Source organism: Homo sapiens, chromosome 6, assembly GCF_000001405.40.
Source record: "Homo sapiens chromosome 6, GRCh38.p14 Primary Assembly".
Classification (NCBI taxonomy): Eukaryota; Metazoa; Chordata; class Mammalia; order Primates; family Hominidae; genus Homo; species Homo sapiens.
In genome coordinates this window covers 22,212,641-22,224,106 of record NC_000006.12, presented here as the reverse complement: position 1 = coordinate 22,224,106, position 11,466 = coordinate 22,212,641, and the positions used below count along the sequence as shown (strand labels likewise).

Below are 11,466 nucleotides of genomic sequence, written 5' to 3'. Positions count from 1 at the left end.
AAGAATGAAAATATGGGAATAATAAAACCTTACTAAACATAATTTATTCTTTCCTTGATGATTTAGAAGGCACCTTTAGCTCCTATGGTGACTTAGGGACATTCCTATGAACATCGATTACAATTGAACTGCGGATATGCAAGGCAATAACTCATGTGACCTCTCTGCACACTTGGAGCTCAAGCAGGGCCGCAGGAAGAGTAATGACAGTGGGGAATGGAAGGGTCAAGAGCTGGGGAAACTAACCAGGTGGCAGGGCTTACTCTCAAGAGTAAAACCAGCAGTTGAAATAATAAAGTTCAAGGAGATGAGGGACCTTGGGTTTCAATCAGGGCTGATATGTACATCCAGAAGGTACCCTCCAGGTGCTGGTAACACAAGACCAGAAATCTCCCCTTACCATGCAGGCAGATCGTATGTCTCCAATCTAAGAGGCTAATTAGTTGGAAGCAGATGTGGAGTATCCAGCTATTGGGATTTCTTTCTAAGTCGTGGTTTATTAACCTGGCGCTGGGCCTTTCAAAGGCCAAACAAGCTGCTAATCATTGTGAGGTCCAGGACAAGGGTCTGATTCCAGCAGGAAATTGAAAGGCAAACCAGGAAACCAGGGAGTTAAGCACAGGAGGAGAGGTGGGAAGAAGGGCCTCCACTTGATGAGCATCCCAGATCTCAGGCTTCAGCAAGCATGTTGATTACAGAGTATGGTCACCTGGAGATTAGATGGGGGCCTCTACTATGGTTTCAAGGAGAAGGAAACAGAGGAAAATAAGGAGAAAATGGCTTGGTTGGCTTTGGGTAGGGCTTAGCGTAGAGCTCATTTTCTTGAGAGGGAGGGAGGGACAGGTTGGAGAATGAAGAAACTGACATGCAGAAATAAAAGGCAAGGAAAATTCTGATTTACTCTATTGGAATGCCAGATGGAAGTGCTCTCTTTAGAGGCTGCAGGATTACATACCCCACCCAATCTGTTTTCCAAGGGCTGTACTTCTGCTCCTCTATTTGGAGGCTAGGCCAATATTCAAGTTAGGATAACGGAAGGAGATTGTTTTTGTAACGCAACTTAATTCACAAAAACGAGTCAAAGAATGTTTTTAGTTCAATAAAGGATTTACTTAAATTCTTATTTGTCTTATAGATGTTTCGTCTTTCTTAATCCCATTCTTAAAACCTCATGAATCTAAATCTCCTGCTGTCTCCACCATGGAATACCAGATGGAACTGAAACTGGACCAAAGAACTAAGGACAAAAGGAAGTAGGTGCCTGCAAGGGGCATGGTGGGAGGCAGGAGACAGGTGTAAGAGATTTAAAAGACTGAAGAGTTTGCGGGGAAAGCTGTGAGGATAGGGGAATGGGGGTGGGGAAAGGAGGAGGGAGGAAGGGAAGAGGAGGAGCAAGACACTAGCTGGGGGAGGAGTTCAGATTTACCAGTAGAAAAAGACTGTGCAGAAGCCCCAGGAATCCATTAGGAAGCCCGCCCACTAAGGAGTCAGCTAGATGCCCTGAATGAGGTAGAAAAGTATTCCCAGATGTGTGTTCCCCCGCTCCAACCGCTCCCCACCACCCCCAGCAGAACCATCAAGAGAGGAGGCTGGGCAACGCAGAGGAAATAAGACATTTTCAAAGACACACGCCAGAGTTGCGGAATTGCTAGTGCTGTCAAGGTAAATTTTATTCAAGGACTTCTTTTTACATAAAAAGGGCCAGTTAGAGTTATTTGTGTTTCAAATTTATTTTATTTTTCTTTATTAAAGTATAAAAAGATACATAATTTGCCTTAAGTCTTTAGGTTCAATTTGCAAATCTCATCTATTTCTAAAACGAGTAAATGTTATATAAAACAGAACAGGTTTTGCAGGGAACTTGGATTAGCGTTTGATGAACTCAAGTTACACAAAGTAAATTCCCCTTAAAACAACCAATCTCATTTTGAAAACTTAATTAAATTCCCTTAATTTTAAACTTCATTTATAAATCAAAGTACCCTATCTCATATGCCTGAGTGGGTAAATTTATGAGCTTAAGCAAAATCTTTCCAAGTTCTGAACAAATCTTTAAAGTTTAAATAAATTAAAATGACAAATATAACAAGTCTTAAATTCTTTTAAGCATGCCAATACTGATTACAAACTTACTGGTATGCATTTTGACAAGAATGAAAAATTACAAGAATCAATTGCATGTTTAAAATTGGAATCAAGAGGCTGATTTCTCAGATTTCATTTCAAGCCTTCTTATTCTAAGTGTGGTCAGAGGGGCAGCAGCATGGGAACACCTGGAGCTCATCAGGAATGTGGACTCTCAGGTCCCACCAGGAACTACTGACTCAGAGTCTATAGCATTAGTCAAAGAGAGGGCAGGAAAGGGGTATTTCCTTCAGTTTTTGAGCTGATATAGGTGCCAGGGTGATATGGTCCGTCGATTCATCCATTTTTCCTTCTCTTTCTTCGGTTTTAGTAGCATACAACAATCCAGAAAGCAAATCATATCTTCAATCTCATATTAAAGTTTTCCAACTAGAAGAAGCAGAAATACTGTGGTTTAAAAGAACCAAGTCGTGCTGGTGAAAGATAGGTCTGGTTGATTTTAAGAACCATACTGGGCATAAAAGGAAGAGAAGTAATTTTTTGTAAATGGACCCCCTCGCTGAGTGGAAGTTACTGCCTGAATCAGCTGCACACAATATAAACTCCTGGCAGGAGTTTCTCTGTGAGTCAGATATCAAAGTCTTCTACAAAGTGGGATGGGCACTGTGGCAAGTTGGTATAGCCACGTTTCTTGAACTGAAAAGGATAAAAAGATAAGTAGAAAGGCACACTGTGAATGTCACGTAATTAAATACCTGGCCAAAATGAGCAAGAGCTACCTTACCCTGAGCCTAGCTAGGTCAGTGTGTGGTGCTCACCTGGAAAGAGGAATAAGATCAAGTAGGTGTAAAACCCTCACATAAGGGGTCTTACTGTGTGGGGTTCAGGGCTAGCCTGCTGACATAATAGTGACATTGGAAAGCAAAGTCCTGCCACGGTCCCTCCATCAATAATGGAAACATGGAGGCAAGATCTCCAAAAGCAGGGTACGCTGGAGAGGCAAGGCCCCTACTGGGGCTTGAGAAGGAAGAGAAAGGTGACAGAATCAGAACAGACCATGTCGGAGGCTTCACAATAGCTGGGAGAAGTACAGAATTTGGGCCTGGGCACAGTGTCTCGTGCCTGTAATCCTAGCAGTCTGGGAGCCAAGATGGGAGGATCACTTGAGCCCAGGAGCTTGCGATCAGCCTAGGCAACACAGAAAGACCCCATCTCTACCAAAAAAAAAAAAAAAAAAAAAAAAAGCCGGATGTGGTGGCGCATGCCTGTAGTTCCAGCTACTTGGGTGATTGAGGCGGGAGGATTGCTTGAGCCCAGGAGGTTGAGGCTGTAGCGAGCCTTGATTGCGCTGAGACCCTGTCTGGGGAAAAAAAAAAATTTAGGAGATGGAGTATGAATAAACAAAGCAACATTCCCTGGTGCCACGCAAGGCTGCCTCCGCAGAGGCATTCCTGTGCTTAGCTTGGTTCTAAGGCAGCTACACAGTGAAGGAAGCTGATACTAGGAAGCAGGGATGCTCCGTCTAGGCACTGGAAAGCCTGAAGTTTCCTAGGCCCCCTAGGGTAGAGTAAGATGAATCCAATGGTCAGAGGGGACTGCATTCTTGTAGAAAGGTGTCCAAGAACTTCCACTGGCAAGTCAACTGTAGGTGCCAATCTACTTTTTGCAAAAGCTGTTGCAGTTTAGGACAAGAGTTACAAATGCAAAAAAAAAAAAAATCATTTAGTTTTATTGGACAAAGTCCAAAAAACTAAATACACCAAAGCAAACCAAAATTCTGTTCATTTTCTGTTCGCATCGTGCTGCTAAAATGCATGCCACACCCGACTGTTTTAGGTTTGGGCCCAAGGAGAATTCCTTATAAATAAAATCCATATTCCCCTGGCATCCTTTAAGTCCTGGAGGCAGAACTGCACGTTCACCCTAGTATCATTCCAGTCCTCTCTTTTTGTAAACGACTACAACTACCAGAAGTCTAGTGGCTCAAATTTCCCCTGGAGTTTTTTGTTACGTAATTGCCAGATTAAAATAATTTTGTGTAGCAATAAATTTAAATGAAACATGTTTTCATTCAAGGTCCAGAGTGAAATTATAGACTCAGTGTCCCTACAATGTTCAGTAGCTAAGCCATGTTCTTTCCAATGTCTTTTTTTTTTCCCGTTTGTGCTGCACTGGCTAGATTTATCAGAACCTGTTTGAAACCAAGGTCATGTCTGTAATAGACAAATTAGTTTTAATTTCAACCATCGATATGCTTTTGAAAATCACTGCAAGGACAAACTAATAATTTTGAGAATACAGAAGTGTTCCTTTTGATAACAAGATATCTAGAATAACAGTGAAGATTTTTAGCCAATTAATTTTCTACACAATGCTAAATAAGTAAATAGCTTAAAACAAACATATCAGTTGACTTAAATTTTAAATATTATTGTTCCTGAATACAAAATAGTTTTCAGGTACAAAAAATAGGAAACTGCTGGCTAAAAAGGGATCACCCCTATTAATTTGTTTCAATTGGAATATCATTATAGTCTGTTGCCAATAAACGATGTCATCAGGTTTTTCTCATGAGGGTTAATTAATGGTAACAACTAGTGACTGAGATTAGAAGGGAGAAGGCGAGAACAGAGTTCTTTCTTGAGCTGGAAGATGTTTCCTCTATATATGTATGCAGGCTACAAAACTGAAAAATAACTTACCATTAGAATTACACTACAGTGGGCTATGACATATAATATATTTTTCTTTGACTTAAGAATTTTCCACCACCAAAGATGGATTTATCCTCAGGCCGCTTGTGTGCTATACCAGTGGACCTGCAACTTAAGCATTTGCTCTGCTCAGGGGAGAATTATTGCTTCCTATTAATTTATGGTTTAGAGAATGTTTCAGCGATAAAGCTGAAAAATTAATTTCAGATTGGTCCCAGAGGGGTTGCTTTTAATAGTTCTGTTAATTCATTTTGGGGAGGATCCCTATGAAAGTTTATGAAAATGGCAAAGACTCACTAGCCCATCTCTAATCTGGATTTTATTTGAAACAGACCTCATCCTTCTAATTAGAGTTGTTAGAACCTACTTTAATTTTATCAATAATAATTAACATTTCTATCGTACTTCAGTTTACAAAGTGCTTTCTCATAATCTATTAAATTTTGGAATCATTACAGTAATCTAATGAAGTAGTGTATTCGTTTCTTATTACTGCAACAACAAATTACCACAAACTTAGTGGCTTAAAACAACACAAATTGATTGTATTACATTGTCAGAAGTCGAAGTCCAAAACAGGTCTCACTGGACTAAAATCAAGGTGTTGGCAGGTGTGCCTTCCTTCCAGAGGCTCTAGGGGAGAATCTGTGTGCTTGCCTCTTCCAGCTTCTAGACGCCACCTCCATTCCTTAGCTCATGGTCCCTTCCACCTTCGAAGCCAGGCAGCAATATACAGTCAGGTGTTTCTTAAGCTGCATCACTCTGACTCTGCTTCTATTCTCATATCCCCTCCCTCCCTCCCTCCCTCCCTCCCTCCCTCCCTCTTTCACTTTTAAGAACCCAAGTGATTACAATGCCCATTCTCCCAGGCAATCCTGGATAATCTCCCCATGTCAAGATTTTTAATTTAATCACCTCTGAAAAGTCCGTTGTACCATGTGAGCTAACATAGTTACAGGTTCCAGAGACTAAGTCATAGACATCTTTGAGGCCATGATTCTGCCTAGCACAAGTAGCAATATTTTAAATGTTTTTATCATTAGTGATGGTGATGGTAAGAGTAGATTATTTAACAGATAAGGCAAACAAGATCAAAGGAGGCCTAGTTACTTAATTACAATCACTCTATTAATATCACACAACACTGTAATTTAAAATTGGTGTTCAGATGTTAATCTACTGCTTGTTCAACTCCATCATGACGTGTTAGTCCAAGAGAAAAGTTCCTATAAGGCATTTTTATTGAACTTTGAATGACAGTCCAGCAATTCTTTTAGGTCATTTCCAAAAATGTTGCTTCAGGGCTTATTGTTAATAATGTCCACCATATTTTTGATTAATTAATTAACAGTAAAGATAATTCTAGTTGTGGTAGCTCTGAAATGTACATATTTACAGATTCTCTTAAAAAATAAAAAAGTTTTACGTTCCCATAGCATAATGGAGACTTTAAATTTTGTATTTTCACATATTATAACCAGGTAAACAGCAAGAAGGTCAAATGAAATAATCCATAGCCTACACCTAAAACAGGAAAAGACCTACTGAATGGTAAGAGAGGAATTTGGCATTCATTCCCAAGTTTAGCGTTTTTAAATAAAATCTTTTATTAGCACCATGAGAAAAGGAAAAGCAGAGTTGACATTTTAAAGTACAACTGATGTCAATATATTTGCTATGTGTGTTATTTGGAGGAGCTGCCAAGAATATGGTTTGTTTAGGGTTCAGATCAGCTTTGGGATTTGATAAATACTAGTGTCAAACATAAACGTGCAGGTATTTGTCTTGAATTAAACCTAAACAATTAATGAGTTATGTGAGCACATAAATTTACCAAAGCAGGCCAGAGAAACCCATGCCTCACCTTTAATCTTTTTTAAATCTTTGGGATGATAGAGGAGACTTCAGGTCAGGATTTCACAGAAAGAAGTATTAGAGGCAGACACTGATTCCTCAGTGAAGATGCCAGAATTTGTTCTTCAGCAGAATATGGCAAATTTATCAACATAACAATTCAGATCAGAGAAGGAGACAGGAACCAAATTTCCCGAAACAGCAAGTACTCTTTTGTGTTCTGAGATACATCAGTTGAATAGAAGCTGTCGATGCTTAAAAATTTAGCATAAACATTCATTATGTTTTATTGCAGACAGTTCTTGTTCCGCACTTAAATGTTTGGCAGTCCAAGAGAAAAGTAACCAGGATGATAAAAATCCACAATCCATGTTATTCATGGAATTGTTGAAACAACAATGTATTTTTAGATTGGGAAAGATAAAATCTAGAAGATGATTTCTACTACTTGAAGGAAGGTTCTTTGAATCATTTTCCATACATTTAGCTCCATAAGATAAAACTAGAACCAACTGGAAAAAATTTTAGGGGTAGAAGATTAAAGGCCCATTAAATATTTGTTCTAGTAATTTGAGCTACCCTAAATTAGAATAAACTACTTCATAAGGTCGTAAGTTGCCATTCCTGCGATATCCACACAGAGGAGGCATCAGGATGATCATGGGCTTTCTGTATTACACGAAAAAGAAAAATAGAGAAAGAAAATATAGCAGATAAGAGCAGGGACCTGTGACTTTGGGCAAGTTGCTTAGTTATTCTGTCCTTTAATATTTTTATCTGTAAATGGAAAGAGACCTAGTTCCAACTTGAGACTGTTGATAGGTTTAAATAAGGTCAGAAAAAGGTTTACTACTATGCTTGGCTCATAATAAGTGCTTAATAAATAGAAGGCATACATACAACTAACAACAGGCTAATAAAAAAAATCTAGTAACGAACATCACAACTCAACTGCTCTACAATAAAGGAAGCTTTGTGACACGCCTTTTCTCATTTTAATTAGGATTCTAGTTTTCCATTTAGACTGTTTGGCAGGGAATATGGGCATATGGGCATCTCAGTGCATTAGTAAGTCATTCCACCAAACTGATCTTGCTTTTTGGATATAATTGGCCTCAGTATCTTTGGTGGACTGTATTATTGTCCTCTATTATTTACTCCCCTCTTCACTATAAAAGAACAAGATGACCCCACTGATGCCATGTGACTTAGAGTGCCTTCACAGAAATGAAGTATGCTTCCCCATCCCATTGTAAGCCTTGGCTATGTGACTCACTTTGTCCAGTAGCATACGCTCAGATATAACATGAGCCACATACAAGCAGAAGTCTGAAGACACATTAGTTTTTTTTCTGGAAGTCCTGTTGCTCTTTCCCTCTACCATGAGAAATGTAGAAAAATATATATATTATGGAGGTGAAAGGTAGACAGAAAATACACTCATTGGTTGCTTAACCATGGGGATATATTCTGAGAAATGCTTCATTCAGCAATTCTGTTGTTGTGGGAACATCATAGAGTATACTTACTTAAACCTAGATGGTACAACCTACCACACCTAGTCTGTATGGTATAGGCTATCACTCCTAGGCTACAAACCTGTACAGCGTGTTACTGTACTGAATACCATAGGCAATTGTAGCACAATGGTAAACACCTATGTATCTAAACATGTAAATGTAGATATGTTTAAAGTACAATAAAAATATGATGTAAAAGGTTAAAATGGTACACCTGTGTAGGGCACTTACCATGAATGGAGCTTGCAGGACAGGAATTTGCTCTGGGTGAGTCAGTGAGTGAGTGGTGAGTGAACGTGAAGGCCTAGGACATGACTGCACGCTACTGTAGACTTTAGAAACACTGGACACTTAGGCTACACTAAATTTATTTTTAAAATGTTTTTCTTCAACCATAAATTAACCTTACTGTACTTTACTGAAATCTTTTTACTTTATAAACTTGTTTATTTTTAAAGTTTGACCTTTTTGTAATAACACAGCTGAAAACACAAACACATGTACAGCTGTACAAAAATGGTTTCTTTATATCCTTATTCCATAAGCTATTTCCTATTTTTATTTTACTTTTTAAACTTTTTGGTAAAAACTAAGACACAGCACACATATGCATTAGCCTAGGCTTACACAGGGTCAGGATCATCAATATTACTGTCTTCTACCTCCACATCTTGTCCCAGTAGAAGGTCTTCAGGGGTGATAACCTGCATAGAGCTGTCATCTGTGATTACATTGCCTTCCTCTGGAATACCTCCTGAAGGACCTGCCTGAGGTTGTTTTGCAGTTGACACATAGATGCAGAAGGAGTACACTCTAAAATAATGATTAAAAGTATAGTATAGTAAATACATAAACCAGAAATATAGTTGTGTATTTTGATCAAGTACTATATATTACATAATTGTTTGTGCTCTATTCATATGACTGGCAGTGTGGCAAGTTTGTTTACACCGGCATCACCACAGACACACAATACCTTGGGCCTTGACATTACTATGGCTATGATATGACTGGGTGATAGAAATTTTTCAGCTTTATTATAATCTCACGGGACAGACCATTGTCATATATGCAGTCCCATGTTGAGGAAACGTAGTTAGGTAGTGCATGACCATATATTATACCAGCTGTTTCTTCTAGCTGCATCTCAGAAGGTGAAGCCTTGTGGCCCTCACTTGCTATGGGTTCAGACCCAGATTTTCACCAGGAGCCAGAGGAACAGGAGCTGCAGGAGGTAGAGAGGTACCAGCCCCTCCCCAGGCCCCCAGCCTGAAGCAGGGCCTTGCACCCCCATGACACTAGGCCTCTGGGGCTGCATCCACAGTGGTGCTTGTTTCTTATACATTGTCAGGGTGCAGCGGCAGGTGTTCAGCTCCCTTGGGACAAGTCCCTTCGCTAGTGACAGATTTCATCACTGGTTGAGAGAGTTTGACGTGCTTAAGTGCATTTATTGTTCTAGGTATTAGATTTTAGGGCTGTGGACAGAGCAGTTCTATGCTGGCAGATATGACCCGGTTGCCCTTACAAAGAGGAGAGGGCTGAGCACTCGTGATTTAGCCTGAGGCTCTCCAGACTCCCATCTTGCTTGCACATGTGGCCTCTGCCATTGGTTCTCTTCCTCGGTGCCCTGAAATGACAGAAAAATGCAATCTGATATCAACAAATTTGGAGGTAAATGGAGGCGCCAGGTGCCCTGTCCATAAAGCAGATCTGGTATTTACATAAGGAATTTGTAGCATCCTGGTCAGTTCCCAGGTTGGCTGAAGGCTTTGATGCAGCACCAATGTGATCCAAAGGGTTTTCAAAAGCAGGGTTGTACCAACATTGGAGCAGAAACTGAAGCTGGATCAAAAAGTCCTTATGAGGTTGGACACAGTGGCTCCTGCCTATAATCCCAGCACTTTGGGAAGTGGAGGGGGAGGATTGCATCAGACCAGGAGTTCCAGACCAGCAATGTAGTGGGACCATGAGCACTATAGCAGGACCTTGATGGTTTTAGAAATTAGCTGGACTTGGTTGTGCACTCCTTTAGTGCTAGCTACTCAGGAGGCTGAGGCAGGAGGATTGCATGAGCCCAGGAGGTTGAGGCTGCAGTGAACTATGATCATGCCCCTACACTCCCATCTGGGCCAGGTAGTAAGATCCTGATTTGGAAAAAAAAAAAAAAAAAAGTCCTTAAGACAGCTGGGTTGCCCTCTCACTCAGGCAGCTCCAGGGCTCTGGAGACATCTTGAAACTATTCTCTGCAGGGCACTCTGTATCAGGCTCTTTGCTGAAGCGAGAGGATGATGCCTCATCGAAAGGCCAGAGTCAGAGCATGGCTTTAAACTGAGAGTGTCGAAAACTCACAGTACATACACTGCGAGGTTACAGAAGGGAAGGAAAAATGGAATCCAGGGCCTGGAGGAGAGCTTTATGCCTGTCGCTGCAGCCTTAGGCATAAAGGGCTGAAGTACTCCAGCAGTGATTGGGAAGCCCAGAACGACTGTCAGCAATGGATTGCCAAATGATGAGGAGCTGGAGGAGTTGAAGTTAAGGGAACCAGGTGACCAAACTTCAGCAACAAAGTAGAGCACATTGGCCTGTGAGTTCTGGGACAGCATCGGGAGCTTCCTATACAGAATTTGAGCTGGGGCTTAGCTTATGGGAAATGTCTCATTCAATACAGCTGGACAAGAATATGTGGAGCTGTCTAAATATCTGTGTATGGATTAGCCACATTGAAATAGGAGGAAGTGATGAGCCTGGAATGTGGGAGGAAAGATGTGCTTAGATAGATTCAAACCTCTTGGAGCACTGTTCCCAGGCTGACCCCTGTAGATCTTTACCCCTTTTTGCTTGGTCTTTCTGTATGCTGCAAACCAGCCCATATCAGTTTCTATGATACCTGCAATATATGTTGGGGAGGGAATTGGGAAACTAAATTGAGACGACCTGGGGAGCAGAGCTGCAGCTACCAATCTGCTAGCTTCCCAAATGTAATGAGAACAAAAAATAAATTTTGTTATTGTAAATTAATGGGATTTTATGATTGCTGCTACTGAAGCAAATCTAAGAAAACACAGAAATCTGAACCAGCACACAGAAGTTGGTACCAGAAGTAGGGTGATGACTTCAAAAAGACATAAAATATGAGCTACTGGCCTCAGAGCCAGGTGGTAGGTAATGGGGAAAATATTATTGGAAGATGAGAAGAATGATGATCTATATTACGCAGTGATGTCATATTTGGGTTAAATGTCATCTGTGATATCATGGAAGTGAGCAAATATACCTGTTGAACTTGTGGTTTT

The 11,466-nt window shown here is 40.4% G+C and overlaps 1 pseudogene, besides 2 other annotated features; it reads left to right on the top strand.

Annotated features, from left to right (window-relative positions):
• Positions 692 to 1,193: an enhancer, noted in NCBI's record as "H3K4me1 hESC enhancer chr6:22223143-22223644 (GRCh37/hg19 assembly coordinates)". NCBI's record gives its function as "activates a minimal SCP1, AML or CMV promoter by ChIP-STARR-seq in naive H9 embryonic stem cells {active_cell/tissue: H9 hESC(naive)}" and the evidence as "EXISTENCE:reporter gene assay evidence [ECO:0000049][PMID:30033119]".
• Positions 2,055 to 2,903: an enhancer, noted in NCBI's record as "NANOG-H3K27ac-H3K4me1 hESC enhancer chr6:22221433-22222281 (GRCh37/hg19 assembly coordinates)". NCBI's record gives its function as "activates a minimal SCP1, AML or CMV promoter by ChIP-STARR-seq in naive H9 embryonic stem cells {active_cell/tissue: H9 hESC(naive)}" and the evidence as "EXISTENCE:reporter gene assay evidence [ECO:0000049][PMID:30033119]".
• NGRNP4 (NGRN pseudogene 4) lies at positions 9,870 to 10,801 on the top strand (annotated as a pseudogene).